Source organism: Homo sapiens, chromosome 2 (assembly GCF_000001405.40).
Source record: "Homo sapiens chromosome 2, GRCh38.p14 Primary Assembly".
NCBI lineage: Eukaryota > Metazoa > Chordata > Mammalia > Primates > Hominidae > Homo > Homo sapiens.
This window is the reverse complement of record NC_000002.12, coordinates 241,807,920-241,828,819: the sequence shown is the minus strand read 5'-3', so window position 1 is coordinate 241,828,819 and position 20,900 is coordinate 241,807,920. Positions and strand designations below refer to the sequence as shown.

The following is a 20,900-nucleotide window of genomic DNA, read 5'->3' as shown; positions in this document are numbered from 1 at the left end:
AACTCATCATTTAGCATTAGGTATATCTCCTAATGCTATCCCTCCCCCCTCCCCCCACCCCACAACAGTCCCCAGAGTGTGATGTTCCCCTTCCTGTGTCCATGTGTTCTCATTGTTCAATTCCCACCTATGAGTGAGAACATGCGGTGTTTGGTTTTTTGTTCTTGCAATAGTTTACTGAGAATGATGATTTCCAATTTCATCCAAGTCCCTACAAAGGACATGAACTCATCATTTTTTATGGCTGCATAGTGATGGTAGTTTCTTTTGCTGTGCAGAAGCTCTTTAGTTTAATTAGATCCCACTTGTCTATTTTGGCTTTTGTTGCCATTGCTTTTGGTATTTTAGTCATGAAGTCCGTGCCCACGCCTATGTCCTGAATGTAATTGCCTAGGTTTTCTTCTAGGGTTTTTATGGTTTTAGGTCTAACATTTAAGTCTGTAATCCCTTGTCTTTTATAAATTGACCATTTTCTATTTTTCATTTGGCACCTCTGTTAGTCTGGTGATCATATAATTTTGCTGTTCTTTCAGTGTTGACACTAGGGATTTCATCATGCATCCTTGGCTAATATGAATTGGTACTTTCACCTTTTCTTGAACAATGCAAGGATTTCAGAACACTTTCATTCCATCTACCTCCCTCTCCGCTTTAGTACTATTTTCATTATGTATTTTAAGTCTATATATAGTTGAAACCCCACAAGACATTGCTGCTGTTGTAATTTTCTACAGTTCATTTTCATTTAGATTCACCTCCCACCTTTTTTTTTTTTTTTTTTTGAGACGGAGTCTTGCTCTGTCGCCAGGCTGGAGTGCAGTGGCGTGATCTCAGCTCACTGCAACCTCTGCCTCCCAGGTTCAAGTGATTCCCCTGCCTCAGCCTCCCAAGTAGCTGGGACTACAGCCATGCACCACCATGCCTGGCTAATTTTTTGTATTTTAGTAGAGACGGGGTTTCACCATGTTGGCCAGGATGGTTTCGATCTCCTGACCTCATGGATTCACCCACTTTTTATGTTTACCATTGTTCTTCATTTGGCCTTACATCCAGAATCATTTTTCTTCTACTTGGAGAGCCCCCTTTCATATTTCTGTTAGTGTGAATCTGTTGATGACAAAATCACTTTTTTGTGTATTTGAAAGTGTCATTATTTTACCTTTATTCATGAAGGATATTTTTGCTAGGTATAGAATTCTAGGTTGGCAGTTATTTTCGTTCTGCACTTTTTGACGACTGGTATCCACTGTCTTTCAGTTTCCATTGTTTCTTTTGAGAAGTCAACTTTTCATCTAAATGTGGCCCCTTTCAAAGTAGGGCTTGCCTTTCAAGGTAATCCATTTATCTGGCCAACTTTGAAATTTCTCCTCATCTTTGGTTTCAGTGGTTTTTACTATGATGTGCTCAGGTGTGGTTTTCTTTTGGTTTATTCTACTTGGAGTTCATAGGCAACCACAGGCATCCCAGTGCTAAAACTCTACAGACCCAGGCTACAGCCACCACCCTCAGCTCTTCCCAGAAAAGGCTGTGCAGTCCCAGTATGACCACACAAACTGTCTGTGAAAGTAGCTTCAGGAGAAACAAGGTACTGTCATGGGCTTCATTCACTCCTTAATTTGATAATTAATTCCACACACATTAATGGAGTTTTTCTCACATTCCAGGCACTCAGCGAGGTGCTGGGGTAGGGGAGAAACAGAAAGATGACAAAGACTTGGTTGCCACACTCAAAGAGCTCACAGCCTGGTAAGCAGAAAGGTGGTCCTGCATTTGCCTCTGGACCACCAACCTAGATGAGGGAAAAGGCTCTGAGGAGTTCCATGGTAATGCTGCTTGGAAGTGAAGTCTGAAGTCAGGACTCCTGACTCCAGGATTCACATCCACCCTGTTTCATTAATGCCAATTGAAGGACACTCTTTATCTTGGGCACCCTGGAAGAAACCCCCCAGCCAGTTTCCTATTCCCTTCCCCATGGGATCTGCCTGTGTAGACAGTCCTCCGTCCTTCCCCATCATCCAAACCATTCTTGATAAATAGCTCAGATTTTGAAGATAAATGACAATAACAGCCCCACCTCATTCTGCATTATTTACAATTTTGTTCTTGATGCCTTCCAGAGCCCACTCCCAACCCAGGGCTCAGTTTTGTTTGTTTGTTTGTTTGTTTGTTTGTTGTTGTTTTGAGATGGAGTTTCACTCTGTCACCCAGGCTGGAGTGCAGTGGCGCAATCTTGGCTCACTGCAACCTCCACCTCCCAAGTTCAAGTGATTCTCCTGCCTCAGCCTCCCAAGTAGCTAGGATTACAGGCACCCGCCACCATGCCCAGCTAATCTTTGTATTTTTAGTAGAGTCGGGGTTTTGCCATGTTGCCCAGGCTGGTCTCGAACTCCTGACTGCAAGTGATCCACCCGCCTCGGCCTCCCAAAGTGCTGAGGTTACAGGCGTGAGCCACTGCACTCGGCCTCTGTTTTGTTTTGTTTTGCAAATGCCATCTATTAAGGACACCCACCTCAAATATGGTAGTGGAGAGTTTCTATTGCATGGAGCCTAATAGAATCATGTTTTCTGGCAAGGAAAAGGGAAATTAGCAAGCATGGAATGGGAGGTTTGGATGCTGTTGTTTGGCCAAGAAGCTCACTCTCACCTGCTCTACACCCAAGACTGGCAAATAACATGGTGTACCCATCACACTGGAAAAAGAGTAAAAAGGCAGATAATGTGAAGTACCAGCAGGTGTGCAAGGACACAAGCCTTCCCATGCATGACTGATGGGACAGGGATGGCTATTTCCTCTGAGAAAGAATTCTCTATTAAAATAAAAATGATAGAGCTGTTTTGCTCAGTCACCCCACATTTGGGAATCTATCCTACAGAAATCAAAATTCCAGTTTGTAAGAATCTATGTTCAAGAATATTTACTGAAGCTATTTTTGTAGTGGTAAGGAAAAAAATAGAAATAATCTTTATTTCCCTTGATAAGGAAATGTGGAATACATTTCAGCACATCTACACTCTAGAATCCATCATGCAAGTTTTTTGCTGATTTTTTTTTGTGATAAAATACACCATCTTAATCATTTTTAAGTGGCCGGCTCAATGATGTTAAACTAATTCCCAGTGTTGTGCGGCGATCACCGCCATCCATCTCCAGAACTTTCCATCTTGAAAAACCAAAGCTCTGCCCTCATTAAACACTTGCTCCCACTCCGCCTCCCCCAGCTCCTGGAAGCCACCATTCTACTTTCTATCTCAAGAATTTGACTCCTCCAGAGACCTCATATGAGTGGAATCATACGATATCTGACCTTTTGTGACTGGCCTATTTCACTCAGTATAACATCCTCGGGGTCCATCCATGTCATAATAACTGTCGAATCCCCTTCCTTCCTAGGACAGAATCATATTCCCTTGTATGGATGGACCACGTTTTGTTCACTTACCCATGGATGGACACTTCAGCTGCTTCCCCATTTTAGCTATCGTGAGTAACGCTGCTGTGAACCTGGGTGCACATGTATCTCTGAGACCCTGCCTTCAATTCTGCGGGGTAACTGCTGGATCATACAGTAATTCCATCTCTAAGTTTCTGAGAAGTGATATGGCTACTGTTTTCCACAGTGGTTGCACCATTTCACACTCCCACCAGCAGCTCTCATGCAATTATTAAGAAGAATGAGGGCCGGGCGCTGTGGCTCACGCCTGTAATCCCAGCACTTTGGGAGGCGGAGGTGGGTGGATCATAAGGTCAGGAGTTTGAGACCAGTCTGACCAACGTGGTGAAACCCTGTCTCTACTAAAACTACAAAAAATTAGCTGGGCATAGTGGTGCGTGCCTGTAATCCCAGCTACTCAGGAGGCTGAGGCAGGAGAATCACTTGAACCTAAGAGGTGAAGATTGCAGTGAGCAGAGATCACGCCACTGCACTCCAGCCTGGGCGACAGAGTGAGACTTCATCTCAAAAAAAAAAAAAAAAGAAGAAGAATGAGGCTGGGCACAGTGGCTCACACCTGTAATCCCAGCACTTTGGGAGGCTGAGGCAGGCGGATTACCTGAGGTCAGGAGTTTGAGACCAGCCTGGCCAACATGGTGAAACCCCATCTCTACTAAAAATACAAAAATTAGCCAGGCGTAGTGGCAGATGCCTGTAATCCCAGCTACTCAGGAGGCTACAGCAGGAGAATCGCTTGAGCCCGGGAGGCCGAGGTTGCAGTGAGCAGATATCACAACACGGCACTCCAGCCTGGAAGACAGAGACTCTATCTCAAAAAAAAAAAAAGAAGAAGAAGAAGAAGTAGTCAGGATTCAAGTATTGAAAGATGTCGATGTCATTGGTCAAGCTCCCAGGGTGGGGGTTTGCAGGAGGGAAGCTGGCTGGGGATGCCTTGGGAACCTGAAGAAGCAGGAACAGCTGAGCACGAGGGTCAGACAACGCCGGGGGCCGAAGCCCCGGGCTGAAGGGACCGGGCCTGGTCCCCGCATCGCTGTGCAGTGATAGCAGCTGACGGTCTCGCTTTGGGAGAAACGGGAGATAGATACACACACACTGACATTTACATTTCACTTGTGTGCGTTCGGGGAAAGCTGCGGAATGAATGGGACGGAACGACACTCTGGTCTGAGCAGGTAAAGCAGGTGCTTGGGGCCACGAGAACTTTTTTAATCACATCAAGTGGAACACGCTTGAGACAACGGTTTCGGAAGCCACGCAGGTGCGCTGCGAGATCGTTTCTACCACCTGAGAACCGTCAACAACAGAGGACTTGCCGGGCCTTGATCTCCACATCTGGAAAACAGACACGTTCTCCACCCCGCGGGCCTTTATTTCATACTAAACGGAACGACGCGCTTGAAGCACGTGGCGTGGAGCGAGCCTTCTGCGCATGCGCAAATGCTTCCTCCTCGCCCCTCTGCGCACGCGGCAGGAGCAGAAAGTCAGACAAAGAGAACGTCGTGGAGAAGAACACAAAGGGAGACAGAGACACAGAGAAAGAGAGAGACAGAGACACAGGGAGACAGAGACACAGAGAGAGACACAGAGACACAGAGAGAGACACAGAGACACGACAGAGACACAGAGTCAGAGACAGAGAGACAGAGATACAGAGACAGAGAGACACAGAGACAGAGACACAGAGAAAGAGAGAGACAGAGACACAGGGAGACAGAGACACAGAGAGAGACACAGAGACACAGAGAGAGACACAGAGAGACAGAGACACAGAGTCAGAGACAGAGAGACAGAGATACAGAGACAGAGAGAGACACAGAGACAGAGACACAGAGAAAGAGAGAGACAGAGACACAGGGAGACAGAGACACAGAGAGAGACACAGAGACACAGAGAGAGACACAGAGAGACAGAGACACAGAGTCAGAGACAGAGAGACAGAGATACAGAGACAGAGAGAGACACAGAGACAGAGACACAGAGAAAGAGAGAGACAGAGACACAGGGAGACAGAGACACAGAGAAAGAGAGAGACAGAGACACAGAGAGAGAGACAGAGACACAGGGAGACAGAGACACAGAGACAGAGACACAGAGACAGACACACAGAGACAGACACACAGAGAGACAGAGACACAGAGTCAGAGACAGAGAGACAGAGACACAGAGACAGAGACACAGAGAAAGAGAGACAGAGACACAGAGACAGACTCAGACACAGAGAGAGACAGAGACACGGAGTCAGAGACATAGAGAGACAGAGATACAGAGTCAGAGACAGAGACACAGAGACAGAGACACAGAGAGAGACAGGGACAGAAAGCGTCAGAGACACAAAGAGACAGAGACAGACTCAGAGACAGAGAAAGAGAGACAGAGACACAGAGACAGACTCAGAGACACAGAGAAGAGACACGGAGTCAGAGAGACAGAGACACAGAGTCAGAGACACAGAGAGACAGAGACACAGAGTCAGAGACACAGACAGACACAGAGTCAGAGACACAGAGAGACAGAGACACAGAGTCAGAGACACAGAGGGAGACAGAGTCACGGAAAGAGACAGACACAAACACAAAGAGAGACAGCCCAAGACACAGAGACAGAGAGAGACACAAACACAAAGAGAAACAGAGACAGACACAGAGACAGAGAGACAAGGACAGAGAAAGGATGGGGGAGGGAGAGAGGGAGCAAGAGAGTAACTCCCAGCTGATTAAACACAGCAAAGAGAGAATTCGTGAACTAGAAAAAAAAAAAAGCCAAGGAAAACCAACCAGAATGCAGCACAGACACGAACGAGAAGGAGAGTGCACAGCAGAGGGCCATGCGGATGGTGAGGGGTCCCACACCTGCGTCCTGGAGCCCAGAAGGCGGGAGCAGGGTGGGACCCTGGTGGCCACACAGCTGTTTCCCGAGGCTGCATAGCAAATCACACAGACCTGGAGGTTGAAACGACACAAATGCATCCCCAGAAGTTCTGGGGGCCGGGGGTCTGACATGGCCTCCCCGGGCTAACATCAAGGGGTCCGCAAGGCTGGTTCCTCTGCAGGCTGTCCGGGCTTCGCTTCCCGTCTTTTCCAGCTTCCAGAGGCCACCGGCTCCTCAGCTGTGGCCCCTCCTCCATCTTCAAACCCAGCTCCAAGGCCTCCTCCCTCCTCTCCCACCCTTTGTCCCCTCCCATAAGGACCCTGGTGAGACCCTGGACCCACCCAGATGACCAGGATGATTTCTCACCTCAAGACCCTCAGCCGGCCCCCTCGGCGCAGCCCTTCGCCATGACGTCATGGTGCAGGCCCCGGAATGAGGATGCAGACGGCTTCCGGGCCCTTGTTTGGCCTATCAGACATCAAGGCTGTTTAACATCTTCCTGGAGGTCCTTGCCAGCCCAGTAAGCCAGGACAAGAGGTAAAAGGATGAGGGTTAGGAAGGAACCACAGAGACATCCTGCCTCCACGACAGAGCCCTGACCCCAGCACTGGCACCGTGTTCCCCGCCACGTTCCTGAGCCACTGCCCGGCCCAGCCTGGGCACAGCAGCAGGAGTTGCCCCTAAGGCTCAGGGTGTGCGTTCGCCCCCCTCACCCTACTGTGAAGGAACACCGGAGGCTGGGTGATTCTTAAGGAAAAGAAGTTTAATCGGCTCCCGGTTCTGCAGGCTCTACAGGAAGCGTGGTGCTGGCATCTGCTCGGCTTCCGGGGAGGCCCCAGGAAACCCACAATCCTGGTGGAAGAGAAGGGGGAGCAGGCACGTCACATGGCGAAAGCAGCAGCAAGGTGGGGAGGTGCCGCACACCTTTAAACAGCCAGGTCTCGGGGGAACTCGCTGTCATGAGGACAGCACCGAGGCGATAGCAGTAAACCCTTCCTGAGAGTCCACCCCATGATCCAGTCACCTCCCACCAGGCCCCACCTCCAACACTGGGAATTACAATTCGACATAAGATTTGGGAGGGGACACAGATCGAAACCATACAGGGGTGGAAGGAAGGAAAAGAGGCTGGGAGAGCAGCCATCGGGAATGTGGAGGTGGGGCAGGGGCTCAGGAGCCGGTTGGGTGCCGGGGAGCCGCCCGTGGTGGGAGGAATCTAGGGGGCTGGTCTCTCTCGAGGCACAGGCCTCCCAGGATGCCAGAGGAACTCCCAGTGCAGCAGGGGGGAAGGACTGTCCCCAGGCACAGCGACCCCCCCACCAGCAGACACCAGATGTCCTGAGCCTGCCACAGCTGGGGCAGTGGCAGGAGGGCAGGAGGAAGGGCTCAACCTGCCCTGAGCCAGGCAGCCCCCCCGCCACACCCTCTCCCAGCCTGGGGCATCACACCTGGCAGAGCCTTCCCCGGTCCTGAGCAGCTGCCCAGACCTGGAGGAGTCAGGGCCTCGGAGCCCTGGGCCCCACCTGAGGAGGCCACGGCTGCTAGGAGGGGCCCTTGGCAGGGCCAGCTCCGGCCCCTTCTTCAGACCTGACCCAACCCCAGCTCAGAGGGTGCTCCAGCCGCAGACAGCCCGAGACATCGAGAGGCTCCACCACGGCGACCGGAGCTCCTGGGGACCTCGAGCCCAAGTCTGTCTGACACAGGCCGAGGCTGCACATGGCCGGGCAGTGACGGCCAGGATCCCCCGGGGTCTGAGGCCCATGTGGACAGACGGACGGACGGACAGACGGCAAAGGCAGGAAGGTGTGCTGCTTCCCAGGCTGCCGCAACAAATCTCACCGACTGGCGGCTGAAGCAATGCAAATGCGTCCTCTCGCGGCTCTGGAGGCCGTCTGAAGCCAAGGGTGACAGGCCCGCACCCTCTCTGAAGGCTCCAGCGCAGGGTCCTTCAGCCTCTTCCAGCTCTGAGCAGCCCCCGTGGCTGGTGGCGGCATCACTGCAGCCTCTGCCTCCACCTTCACATGGCTCCTCCCTGCGTCTGTGACTCACAAGGACGGACGTCACTGGGCTAAACCCACTGCAATCCAGTATGACCTCCTCTTACCTCCATCACGTCTGCAAAGGCCCTACTTGCAAATAAGGTAGCAAAGTCTGAGCTTCCAGGGGGACATGAAGCTGGGGACGCCGCTCACCCCAGTATAGAAGAGAATGACGAAGAATGGGCCATGCAGAGCTGCAGTGGGCTCCACGGCTTCCAGAACCCCAGAGAGGCCTGTGGCTCCTTTGCTTCAGATCTGAAGGCAGAAGAGTGGACTGTGATGACCCTGCTAGCCACGAGCCAGGACACACGCATGACAGGATGCACCCAGCACACGACCTACACACGGGCCACGAGCCAGGACACACGCATGAGAGGATGCACCCAGCACACGACCTACACACGGGCCACGAGCCAGGACACACGCATGACAGGATGCACCCAGCACACAACCTACACACACACCACGAGGCAGGACACACGCATGACAGGATGCACCCAGCACACGACCTACACACAGGCCACGAGCCAGGACACACGCATGAGAGGATGCACCCAGCACACAACCTACACACACACCACGAGGCAGGACACACGCATGACAGGATGCACCCAGCACACGACCTACACACGGGCCATGAGCCAGGACACATGCATGAGAGGATGCACCCAGCACACAACCTACACACACACCACGAGGCAGGACACACGCATGACAGGATGCACCCAGCACACGACCTACACACGGGCCATGAGCCAGGACACATGCATGAGAGGATGCACCCAGCACACAACCTACACACACACCACGAGGCAGGACACACGCATGACAGGATGCACCCAGCACACGACCTACACACGGGCCACGAGCCAGGACACACACGACAGGATGCACCCAGCACGCAACCTACACACGGGCCACGAGCCAGGACACACGCATGACAGGATGCACCCAGCACATGACCTACACACGGGCCACGAGCCAGGACACACGCATGAGAGGATGCACCCAGCACGCGACCTACACACGGGCCACGAGCCAGGACACACGCATGAGAGGATGCACCCAGAACACAACCTACACACACACCACGAGGCAGGACACACGCATGACAGGATGCACCCAGCACACAACCTACACACGGGCCACGAGCCAGGACACACGCATGACAGGATGCACCCAGCACACGACCTACACACGGGCCATGAGCCAGGACACATGCATGACACAATGTACCCAGCATGTGACCTACACACGGGCCACAAGTCAGGACACACACGTGACACAAGGCACCCAGCACGTGATCTACACGTGCACCCCAGATTCCCATGTTGAAATATTAACTCCAGGGTGATAAGGTCAGGAGGTGGGGCCTCCTGGGAGGGTGGAGCCCTCATGAATGGGATAGTGTCCCATACAGGAGACCCAGGAGAGACCTCTCCCTCCCGCCGTGTGTGACACAGCCAGAGGCCGCCATCCACTAGCCGGAAACTGGGCCCTTACCAGACACGGAGCCTGCCCTCATGATCACAGACTTTGACCTTGGACTTATAGCCTCCAGAACCGTGATAAATACATTTCTGTTGTTTCCAAGGCCCCTGGTCTGTGTATTTCATTTTGGCAGCCCCAAGGGACTAAGACACAGACCCCCTAAAACCAGCACTGCCAGGGCCCGGGCAACGGGCCCCTCCTATGAGGGGCTGAGGCTGCCTGAGGTGGGGAGGGGCCCGGGGTGATTGTGGGAACTCAGGGCTGTCAGGGGCCCCGGATCCAGGCCCCCATCCTGCCCCCGTCTGGAACCCAGTGGTGTCCCCTCTCAGGCAGCAGCCGTCCTGGCAGGGCAGTTGCTGGGGAAAAGGGGGCCGCAAGGGGAGGTCATCTCTGCTCCCCTGGGGACCCTCGGCAACTCAGAGACCACCTGGACGCTCCGCACTGCTGGGGGCTGGCCGTGGGTCCCCACCCTTGGGAGTGGTCACCGAAGCCACCCCAAGGGGTGACCAGACCCAGAGACATGCAAAGGAGCCCATCACACACAATTCAGGGCCGGGAAGAAGGTGGCACACGTGTGCACCCCCTGGCTGATGCCATCGTCCACGGGTGTGACACACGTGTGCACCCCCCAGCTGGTGCCATCATCCATGGGTGGGACACACGTGTGCACCCCCCGGCTGGCGCCGTCGTCCATGGGCGTGACAGCAGGCTGGGCAGGACCGTTGAAAGGAAGCCAGAAGGAAGGGCCCGTGGGGACAGGGGCCCGGGGGCTCACTTCTCTTTCTTCTTTATAGTTTTCTACATTTTCCAGATTTTCTTTTTTTTTTTTCAGAGTCTCACTCTGTCACCCAGGCTGGAGGGCAGTGGCACAATCTTGGCTCACTGCAACCTCCACCTCCTAGGTTAAAGTGATTCTCCTGCCCCAGCCTCCCGAGTAGCTGGGATTACAGGTGCCCACCACCACATCCAGCTAATTTTTGTATTTTTAGTAGAGACGGGATTTCACCATGTTGGCCAGGCTGGTCTCGAATTCCTGACCTCAGGTGATCCACCTGCTTTGGCCTCCCAAAGTGCTGGGATTACAGGCGTGAGCCGCCGCGCCCGGCTCGTTTTCCAGATTTTCTACAGTAAGCATATGTTGCTTTTATCATCAGAAATGAAGACTATAAAAGGAGAAGAAATAAAAAGGAACTTCCCTGGGGAAACAGCCCCAGTGGAGCCCAAGCCCCCTCCAGGGTGGGGTCAGGGGAGCAGGACACTGGACTGGTCCTGGAAGGTGACCCCCTCCTGGCGTTCAACTCTGCGGGGAGAGGCCCTACCTCCTACTCCTCCAGCAGGAAGTTCAGAGAGCACAGCAGACCACTTGCAAATCACTGTCACCGGAGGCCAGGGGCGGAGGCCACTTCCTCCCTCCCGCCTTCCCTCTGCTGGCCCCAGGACATTTAGGAGTAGAGCTTTGCTAAGGCAGCGGGATTTTGGGATGGGGGTCAGAGAAGTGGGCTACAGCAGAACTCCCCTCCCCAGGGCTGGAACCTGAAAAGGAAAGAAACGTCTACCCCGACACAAGCACGATTCCTTTATTTCGAGCCAGAAAGCAGCCAGTAAACAAGTGCTGCCACCCACAACACCCTGGGCTACCTGCGGTCCCGCGCCTGGCCCTGCAGCCTCGGAAGGGAGCTGTGGGGGTCACCCAGGGCCCACTTCGTGCCCCCACCCTGCCCCCACCCTGCCCTGCTCACTCCCAGCCGCTGCTCCCCTTCCTAAAGAGCAGTCCCTGCTTGAGAGCTCTGAGGAGCAACTTGTTTCTAATCCACAGGATCCTGCACTAAGAGCCCCCCCCACAGCTATCGTGGGGCACCCCAACGTATTCCACCCCTCTGCCCCAGGCACCCAAGGGGCATGGGCACGGCCAGAAGGCCTGTCAGGAGGGCCAGCAGCACCCCCGAGGCTTGTCCCCAAGGTTGGGCGGTTTGGGGCTGGCGGGCACGTTCTCCAGGACCTCACGCAGGGAGAATGTACAAAAGGAAATCTCATCATAGGAGGTCCTGGCCCCGCTCTCGTACAGGCAGGCAAAAACCAGGCCCCCCTCAGGGGCCGGCCCGATGGACGCCAGGTCGGAGTAGCCGCTGGGGCCCTCGTAGATCACCCAGGGCTCTGTCCAGCTGCGCGGGTCCAGCGGGGACTGGCTCAGGCGGATACCCATGTGTAGCCGAGCCCTGCGCCCCACTGGGTGGGAGTACAGCAGCCACGTGGGGCTCTGGGGCGGGGCAGCAAAGGGCATGGGGAGTGCCAGGGTCCAGGACCCCACATCCCCACTGACCCCAGGCCTGGGGCCAGGCTGCCTGGGGCCATCCCCCCGAGGCTGCAGACGGCTGAAGGGCCCACCAGGCACCTGGCCTCCACGGGGGTCTACAGCAGCCTCCTCTGGGGGTTCGTGGACTCCAGGACCGAGGAGTGGAGGCTGGAGGGGACTCCCGGGGCCCACTGACCAACTGTCATCCCGTGGCCTGTTGGGGGCGGGGGCTGGGAAGCCCACGATGCTGCCCTGGCAGCCCCAGGCAGTCTCGGGCAGGGAAGCCACGCGCTCTGCGGGCAGGAAGGAGGTGCCCTCGTCAGTGCTGAGCGCCTGCACACGGCTGCCCAGTGGGCTCCGGGCATTGCAGTAGAGGAAGCTGCCGGCCTGCCCACCGTCCACCGCTGCCAGCTGGCACTCGCCTGAGCGCAGGTTGGGCACGAGGCCTCCACAGCGCCAGGTGCGGCCGTGGTCATCGCTGTAGAAGGCGAAGGAGTGAGGGCTGGTCCGGCAGATCTTGCCAAAACACTCTCGGCGGTCCACGCGGTAGGTGTAGGCGGGTACCAGCAGGCGGCCTGAGGGCAGCTGCACACCGTGGCCGGGACCCACAGCGAATGTGGCCCAGTCTGCAGGGAGGAGGGCAGAGGTGGGAGGGGCTGCTGGGTCCCCGAGGTCGGGGGGCTGGAGGAAGGCACAGGGGGACGGGGAAGGAGGGGCTGGTGCCTCGGGTTAGGACCATCGCACTCTGACCGCCCTTCCACACGACTCATCCCAGCCGCCCTGAGTCCTCCCAGGCTGAACAAGCCTCTCACAGCCCTTAGCAGCCGAGCCCAGGTGGACGGCACCCAGGGAGGCTGGTGAGCGCTGCCCACACAGAGAGAGCGGAGGGCAGGCGGGGGGCATGAGGCCCTGCAGTGGGGTCCCTGGGTTGGCCATGTGTCTGCTGCACTCCCTGCTGTAGCTCCCACGGGCCGGGGTCAGGTGGCCACAGAGGATGGGGTGGAGGGAAAGTTGTGGGTGAGGCCTGGCCAGGCCCTGGGCAGGGTGAGAAGGGAGTAAAGAATAAGAGGAAGGGGTGGGGCGGGGTGGCTGTTGGTTTGGGAGCTGAGAGACACCTCAGCGTCCAGCCTTCTCCTCTGCAGATAAAGAGATTAGCGGGGGGGATGAGAGAGAGTCGGGTCAGCCATAGAGGGCCTGCTCCTGCCCACTGGGTGACTGGGGGTGATCAATACCCATTTGCCTGGGACGGGAGGTGCAGGACGGTCCTGGGGAGAGGGATTTGCCTGGGACGGGAGGCGCAGAACAGTCCTGGGGAGAGGGATTTGTCTGGGACGGGAGGCTCAGGACGGTCCTGGGGAGAGGGATTTGCCTGGGACGGGAGGCGCAGAACAGTCCTGGGGAAAGGGATGGTTGGTTCCCTTGTGGCTGGAGACAGGGGTGGGGCAGAATGGCAATTTCCCGCTGGAATCTCCCTTCCATGTGGACCGTGGCCAATCAAAGGGACCCAGACCGGCACCCTGCCCGCCTACCCTGCACGGCACCACCGATGGCCTCCTCGGTGAGGTCCCGGGCGCTGCCCCACGAGAGGCCGGCGTCACGGCTGGCCACACAGCAGAGGCGCGCGGCGTTCCTTCCCGTGGCGATCTGCACGGCCTCAGGCGTGTGGCCCAGCACCGCGATGAAGAAGAGGAAGACGGTGCCCGTGCCAGCATCGTGCACAGGGCAGGGGTTCATGGACCGGTGCTCCGCCAGGGCTGCTGTCCCCAGCACGTGCAGGGCACCCCACTGCCCAGAGGAGGAAGTTCCGCTGACCAGGACGTCCAGGGACCTGGGCACAGCCCCCCGCAGGGCACCCAGGATCGCTGAGCCTGGTTTGCTCATCTCTACCTCGGGCATCTGCCTGCCGCCGCCACCCCCGCCCCATCCCGGGGTGTGCAGCCCCAGCAGATCCGGCCACTACACCCACACAGAGCCCCCGGCCACTCACTCACCCGCACGGAGCCCCCGGCCAGCGTGCCCCTCCTCAGCACCAGGCGGTGGGCGTGGGAGTCGTCAGGGCTGAGCCGCTGCTCCACAAAGGCCAGCAGGGTGGGCCCGGGGGGCACGGGGAGCAGCGAGGGCACGCGGTAGGTCAGGCCCGTCCTCTCCCGCTCGAAGAGCACTGTCCGTGAAGGGGTACGAGGGACCCCCATGCTCTGCTGGTCAGTACAGGGCCACAGGTCAGCAAGACAGGCCCAGGGAGCCCCACACTCGCTCCCGGTCTGGACTGGGGAATGCGCTCAGGAGGTGCAGACAGCTCCTGCCCACACCTGGGCCTCTTCCTGTACCCACCTTGGGGTCAGCCCTGTTTCTGACTCCCTCACCCCAGATCTGGAGCAGCCCCTCCCCCACCCTCCCTCGCACCCACTCCACCCCAAATGTCTGTGGAATCAGCCCCTTCCCCTCTCAACACGGCTCTGGGAGCTGACCCTCGGCCAGGCTGGTTGGTGCCAGGGTGCAGGGGAGGCTGGCCAGAGAGCCCCCGGGACCCTGCCAGCCATGTGCCCAGGACACAGGGTCATCCCAGAATTCGCCCAGCAGGAGGTCATGTGGACAATGAGGACCCAAAACCTCGAGCAAGGAGGAGCTCAGTGTCCCCAGAATAGAGGCCACAGCACCGTGGAAGCCACAGCAGAGACACAAAGAGGTGAGCCCACAGGGACCTGTGGGAGCCACGGGGCTCTCTGGGGACAGGGGATCGGCTCCCACTTCCTGAACGTCATCGGGGGAGTCACGGGGCTCTCTGGGGACAGGGGATCGGCTCCCACTTCCTGAACGTCATCGGGGGAGTCACGGGGCTCTCTGGGGACAGGGGATCGGCTCCCACTTCCTGAACGTCATCGGGGGAGCCACAGCCAGGGATCCTGCAGGGGACAGGTGCTTGGTGATCAGACCCCTGCCTGCAGGCAGCTGGCCCCACAGTGCCCTCATTCCAGTGCCTGGTGCTTCCCACCTGCAGGGCCCTGACCTGAGAAGCGCCCACAGGAATCAGAAGCTCCAAAGCCGAGTGGGGCCCGGCGGCCATTCTGGGAGTTTGCTCCCAGGCAACACCCACCAGGGCAGGGCCCGGGTGAGGGGGCATTTGGGGCACGCATGGGGTCTGCTTGTTGCAGGCGGGACCTGCCTGGGGGGTCTCTCAGTCTGATCGCACAAAGGCAGACGGAGCCGAGCGTGAGCACGCACAGCCCGGCACAGGGAGGTGGCACAGCTGCAGACAGTGGGAACGCTGGTCCTCCACCATGCAGGAGCGGTCAGATCCACGGCCAGCCGCCCAGGCCGGGCACACGGGGCACCTGGATGCGGGGCTAAGGGAAGGAGGGAGGAGGGAGATGGCCGGATGCCGGACACCACGCCTGGCCAGGGCAGAACGCCTGCCTACGACGGGGACCCATGCACACCCACGGGTCAGGCGGGACCCACTGACAGAGACCCGGGTAAAGGCGCAACACTCGTGTAAAACCCAAGCAGGCCTTGCCCCGACACCTGAGGCCCAAACAGACAGCTCCACCTCCAGCCACCTCTGCCCTGGGCCACCGGTTCCTGAAAGGCTCTTGGCTAGGACAGCTGGCCGGCCCCTTCCTGCCGCTCCCCCACCACCAGTGCGCGGCTTCTGAGAGCAGCTTCCGTCCCCAAGAAGCCCCTGGCTCTGCTCTCAAAGGGCAATTGTGCCCAAGCGGGAAGCAGGTGCAGACGCCATGTGTCCCTCTGGGCTGAGCAGGCACAAGCAAGACATTCTCTCTGCACTTGGCTCCCTCCCCAAGGCCCGGACCACAGGAGCAGGTGTCAGCACCCCCTGCAGACATGAGGCCCAGGCCCACCCCTGGGGACAGAGAGGGAGAGGAGGAGACTCCAGAAACCAGCTGGTCACTCCCCTTGTTGCACAGAGGGGAAACTGAGGCCCACAGAGAGGACAAGGCTGACACACACTTGGCTTGGGGCTTCCTTGCCACGGCCAGGCCCTGGGTTCCACAGAGCCTCCGTGTCCTCCATGTGGCCAGGCCCTGGGTTCCACAGAGACTCTGTGTCCTCAGGAGGTCCCTCTGTCTTGGGGGACCAGCCGTGCTCAGTGTGGCCAGGCCCTGGGTTCCACAGAGCCTCCGTGTCCTCAGTGTGACCAGTTCCCTGGGTTCCACAGAGCCTCCGTGTCCTCGGCAGGCCCCTCTGTCTCGGAGGCCAGCCCCGCTCAGTGTAGCCAGTTCAGCACATTCCAGGGGTTTGGCTTGACTGGGACAGCCATGTCCTGGACATTAACCAGTGCCCCCCGCCCTCCCTGACAGGGCCCTCCTTGGGGGTGTGGAGTCACAGAAGGGGAAACCGAGGCCCAGGGGAGATGGGACCTCCAGGAGAACCTGGCCTTCTGGTCCGTGGACCCCTGGACCGGTTGTAGGGGTCACTCTGGCTCAGCAGGGGGCCATCACAGACCACCCCCCCCACCCCCGCCAACCCCTCACAGCCCATCCTGTGTGGGTGCCCCAAGAGCCTTGAGGTCAGACCAGGCCCTCCACGCACACCCTCTGGGGTCCGCACACACCCTCTGGGGTCCACGCACACCCTCTGGGGTCCGCGCACACCCTCTGGGGTCAGCACTTCTTGTCGTGGGAAGTGTCAGGTGCAGGGTAGGAACATCTTGGCGAGGGGCATTCACATGCACCCACATAAAGTGCAGAGGCCCTTTGCACAGAATCCCGGCAGGGGGCCCTCGGCGGCTCTGACCCTCAGCCTGCACCGTGAGCGTCCTGGGCCCTGGCCAGGGCGAAGACTCCGACCACAGACCCTTCACCTGGTAGAGCGTCCCCGACCAGCCCATCTGCAGAACGACCCTGTGGGCTGGGGCCGGCCCCCTGCATTGGGCCCCTCACAACCAGTCTGTCTCCATCCCATGCCCTGAATCTGCCCCCAGGAACCCTCAGTGTCACACCCACCCTGTGGGCCAGGTAAGTGTCCCATTGGGAGATGCATGTGGGACCTCTTGCTGGAGGGGCCCTCGGAATCCCTGCAGCCCGCCCCTTGTTTGAGAGCTGAGGAGCCACCCTGGGGTTGGCAAGGAGTGGGACTCGTCCAGCACCCCCAGACAGAGGGGGCGGCCAGCTGGACAGATACCTCAGGAGCGGGTCCTGACCCCGGGCGCCCGGGTAGAGGGGTGAGGGTGCTGGGGGTGCAAAGGGCAGGGACTCACCAGCCACCTTGGGAAGGCTGCAGAGCTCATCATGGGTGGCTGCCTCGCCTGACCCAGAGCAGAGACAAGGGCCCACTGTGCGGGCAGCAGGCCAGGGAGCTGGCCACGTCTCAGGGCTACGTCAGGACCCTGGACACTCCCACGGTGGCACGGCTCCACTGAAGCCCAGAGCAGGGCCAGGGGTGCAGATGGGCACCCAGGAGCCACACAGACGCCCGGGACCAGCACAGGCTCCCCTCTGCAGGTCAAGGCACTCAACACTGGGGTGCTGAGGACACGGGGGTGCGCCCTCCAACAAGGGCTGTGCTGGGACAGGCCCAGCTGTGAGGCCGCAGTTGACCTCCCAGAGGGACACGGGTCTGCTGCTCCAGAGACGCGGCCCTGCCAGGAGGGCTCCGTGAGTGCACACTCTCCTCTGGGCTTCCCGGGTGCGGGGCCTCCCCTGGCACAGCACAGCCCCTCACAGCACAGGCCTCACTGGGCTCTAGCTCTGTATCTGTGCTCCTGGCAGGCCAGCACCCCATCGCAATGTCCTGTGCCTCTCAGGGCCCAGGGTGACCCCTCCCCAGCACAGCTGCCGTGCAGGACTCCTGCCAGTCCCATTCACGCTGGCCTGCCCCCAGCCTGTCCCCGCAGGACTCCTGCCAGTCCCATTCACGCTGGCCTGCCCCCAGCCTGTCCCCGCAGGACTCCTGCCAGTCCCTTTCACGCTGGCCTGCCCCCAGCCTGTCCCCGCAGGACTCCTGCCAGTCCCTTTCACGCTGGCCTGCCCCCAGCCTGCCATTTCAGAGGCAGCCTTGGTAACCAATGCTCAAATGACCACTGCCCAGGCCAGAATCTCAGAGGAGGCCACAGGTGCCCGGTATGTTCTGATGGGGCAGCCTCCGTGGGGGATCCCTGGGCCCTGAACACCCTCCTTTCTCACTGTCCCTCCCTCCCCTGCGAAGGGCATCCTCAGCTGCTTCTGAAACCTGGGGCGCTGTGGTGGGAAACAGGTAGGTCACGTGGTTTCCAGGCTGAGATGATAAACCTGCCGCGTCCCTCCAGGTCCTAGGGGCCTGAGGGGATTTACTGGGGGCAGCTGGGAGGGGGGCGGCGAGGAAGCAGGAGGGGTGGGCCCCAGCTCCTTCTGACTCATCTGAATGCCCCCCGTGGCCCCTCGGCCGCCAGAGCTCGTGAAGACGGTTAAGGAAAGCTTCCCCCAAGTGGCTTTCACCCCACGGGGACAGAGCCCCAGAGGTGCCTGTGGGCCCAGTGTCCTGTGCACTCACAGCCCCAGGAGGGGCGGACCCAGTCCAGGCAACTTGGCCATCGTACACATCCTCCTGCTCACAGCCGAGAATCCTGGGGCAGGGGCAGGTGGGTGGGAAGGGACAACCTCCCCACCCCTCAGAAGCCCCACCCCAGCCCAACCAGAACTGGGTGGCCCATCTCCCTTCTCGTGTCCCCCAAGTCTGGGACTGGTGGAGTCTGACCAGGGCCATCCCCTAAGTACCCAGGCTTACAGGGAAACGGGACCTCCAAGCCCCACGTCACCTTGCAAAGTCCCCTCCTGGGCCACCCTGAGACACAGGCCGGGTCTGGAGCAGGGCTGTCTGGCCAGGGTGTGCCCGCAGAGCTGGGGTGGGGGGCAGGCCTCACTCCCTCTGCTCCAGGCTTTTCAAGCCCACTGTTTTCAATCTAGAGATTTCACAGAAAAACCCGTGTTTTCAGCTTCTCTTGAAAAGTCAGATCTGCCCTCAGGTGCCACCCACTTCCCCTGGGCATCTCTGCCTGGACAAGCCACCGTCTACCCAGGGTATATGACAGCCACGGGTCCCACCAACCCCCAACTGTCACCCCATGGCCCACGGCTGCTCAGAGGTCCCTGGGCCCATCTGGGGCTCTGTCCCCGTGGGGTGAAAGCCACCCGGGGGAAGCTTTCCTTAACCGTCTTCGTGAGCTCTGGCAGCCGAGGGGCCACGCTGACCCCAGCATCACACGGAAGGCTGGGACGTGCCCCCTCCCCCAAGAGCAGTTTCGGCTACTCTGTGTCCCCCTTTTATGGGCTGCACGACGTGGCAGCATTTTAACCGCCCCTTCTCAATGCACAGCCCGGACAGGCTGTTCTCAACACTCTCTACTGCAAACTACACACAGTTTTACGTCGCCAGAAAGACCCCAAATTTCTATTCAAAAAGACCGTACCAGTTTCAGTTCCCGCCAACCTCAAAGGCAGAGACAAAAGGACGGTGTGCCCCTCCTGTAACTTCATTTCTTCGGTGACTGTGAAGCTGAGGGCAGAGTCCACGCCTGGGGACAGGGCTGCCACCGCAGCGGCCACTGCGTCCAACCCTCGCTCCTCCTCCCAGAGACGACCTGCGTTCCGCTCAGGGACAGGGCTGCCAACGCAGCGGCCACCGCACCCAACGCTCGCTCCTCCTCCCAGAGACAACCTGAGCTCTGCTCAGAAGCGGCACCTCCTCATGCTGGACTCACTCGGGCCCACATGTGCCAAGGGGGCCTGGTTTTGGGGCCGGCGGGTTCTGCCTGATGCTCAGAGGGTAACTGGATGCTGAAAACTGTGAGTCTTTCTTCAACTCAGGGGAATGTTTCCAGGGCACGCCAGGCCTCACTCACGCAGGCCTCCGCGACAACTGTTCAGCACTGACTGAGGGTGAAGTGAAATCCTGAAAGCTGAGAGCCAGCGCCCTCACACGAGGGCTGGGACGTAACAAAAGCCCATCAAGAGTTTTGCCCAGGGCTTTCTTGGGCCTTGAAGCATGACGAGACCAGGACCCGTTTAGGATTAAACAAGTTTTACTGGGGGTCTGAAAAAACTCCCCAGGCCTCCACAAACAAGTGGAGAAGGAACTCCCCAAACCTCCATGATTTAGCAGAAGACAAGATAAGGGTAAACACCTGGGCCCATTTAGATCAAGTAAATTTACTGAGTCTTCAGAGGAAGATCTTCAGGACCAGACCTCAGTTAGAGATGAGAAGAATTGAATCACGTACGTCTTTAGACGAATGCACACTGACACGGAGACACAGAGCTTAGAAGGTGTGTAAGCTCTGGAAAAACTGTAATCTGGAGTTGGTCTGGCGATCATTTCCAGGCCTTCTCCCTGTAACCAGTTACAGAAATAAAATCCCTCTTCTTCCCCAGTTCATCTGCATCTCGCTATCGGGCCTCGGGAATGAGCAACCCGACCCTGGGTTTGGTCCGGGAACGTTTTGTTCTCTGCGTGAACTGCTTTCTCATCTGTGGTCTTTTCTGTCTTCTGGGACTCCTGTTGTTGGCACGTGGGCTCCTCCCGGGCCACTTTCCCTTTACCTGGCAGGATCCTCTCCTGTGCCTTTCCTGGGCTGAGGGGGGAGGGAGGGAGGGAGGGAGGGTGGCCTGCCGAGGTCCCTGGGCTAAGAGGGGAGAGTGGCCTGCAGAGGTCCCTGGGCTGAGGGGGGAGGGAAGGTGGCCTGCAGAGGTCCCTGGGCTGAGGGGGGAGGGAGGGTGGCCTGCGGAGGTCCCTGGGCTGAGGGGGGAGGGAGGGAGGGTGGCCTGC

At 58.2% G+C, this 20,900-nt stretch overlaps 1 protein-coding gene and 1 long non-coding RNA gene across 6 annotated transcripts, besides 6 other annotated features; one reads left to right on the top strand and one right to left on the bottom strand.

Annotated features, from left to right (window-relative positions):
- Nucleotides 1-11,406: 11,406 nt before the first annotated feature.
- Nucleotides 11,407-19,627, bottom strand: NEU4 (neuraminidase 4). 5 transcript variants are annotated; one of them, NM_001167602.3, is made up of 5 exons: nt 17,359-17,424; nt 15,307-15,487; nt 14,135-14,338; nt 13,673-13,928; nt 11,407-12,769 (listed from the first exon to the last, which is right to left on the bottom strand). In NM_001167602.3, exons 3-5 carry the CDS (start codon nt 14,333-14,335, stop codon nt 11,772-11,774), a joined length of 1,455 nt encoding a protein of 484 aa, NP_001161074.1. In that variant the 5' UTR covers nt 14,336-14,338; nt 15,307-15,487; nt 17,359-17,424; the 3' UTR covers nt 11,407-11,771. The 5 variants fall into 5 exon arrangements, with proteins under 5 accessions (NP_001161074.1, NP_001161073.1, NP_001161072.1 ...); NM_001167601.3 differs by lacking the exons at nt 15,307-15,487; nt 17,359-17,424 and adding an exon at nt 19,546-19,627 and having other exon boundaries at nt 14,135-14,341; NM_001167600.3 differs by lacking the exons at nt 15,307-15,487; nt 17,359-17,424 and adding an exon at nt 19,546-19,627.
- On the top strand, nt 18,124-20,505 carry LOC124905349 (uncharacterized). Its single transcript, XR_007088398.1, has 2 exons — nt 18,124-18,353; nt 19,452-20,505. It is a non-coding gene; the product is annotated as an uncharacterized LOC124905349 (long non-coding RNA).
- Nucleotides 19,790-20,900: part of a meiotic recombination region, noted in NCBI's record as "meiotic double-strand break mapped by DNA meiotic recombinase 1 chromatin immunoprecipitation followed by single-stranded DNA enrichment and sequencing in the germ cells of some male individuals with the PRDM9 A/A, PRDM9 A/B and PRDM9 A/C genotypes", that runs on past the window's edge. NCBI's record gives the evidence for it as "EXISTENCE:chromatin immunoprecipitation-seq evidence [ECO:0000229][PMID:25395542]".
- Nucleotides 20,681-20,900: part of a repeat instability region, noted in NCBI's record as "repeat instability region; both inter-allelic and intra-allelic events contribute to instability of this region", that runs on past the window's edge. NCBI's record gives the evidence for it as "EXISTENCE:polymerase chain reaction evidence [ECO:0000082][PMID:9628885]".
- Nucleotides 20,711-20,723: a nucleotide motif, noted in NCBI's record as "nucleotide motif; similarity to the predicted 13-mer PRDM9 A binding motif (LD hotspot motif), CCNCCNTNNCCNC". NCBI's record gives the evidence for it as "COORDINATES:motif similarity evidence [ECO:0000028][PMID:19165926]".
- Nucleotides 20,820-20,900: part of a minisatellite, noted in NCBI's record as "CEB1 (D2S90) VNTR, 39 nucleotide repeat", that runs on past the window's edge.
- Nucleotides 20,836-20,848: a nucleotide motif, noted in NCBI's record as "nucleotide motif; similarity to the predicted 13-mer PRDM9 A binding motif (LD hotspot motif), CCNCCNTNNCCNC". NCBI's record gives the evidence for it as "COORDINATES:motif similarity evidence [ECO:0000028][PMID:19165926]".
- Nucleotides 20,875-20,887: a nucleotide motif, noted in NCBI's record as "nucleotide motif; similarity to the predicted 13-mer PRDM9 A binding motif (LD hotspot motif), CCNCCNTNNCCNC". NCBI's record gives the evidence for it as "COORDINATES:motif similarity evidence [ECO:0000028][PMID:19165926]".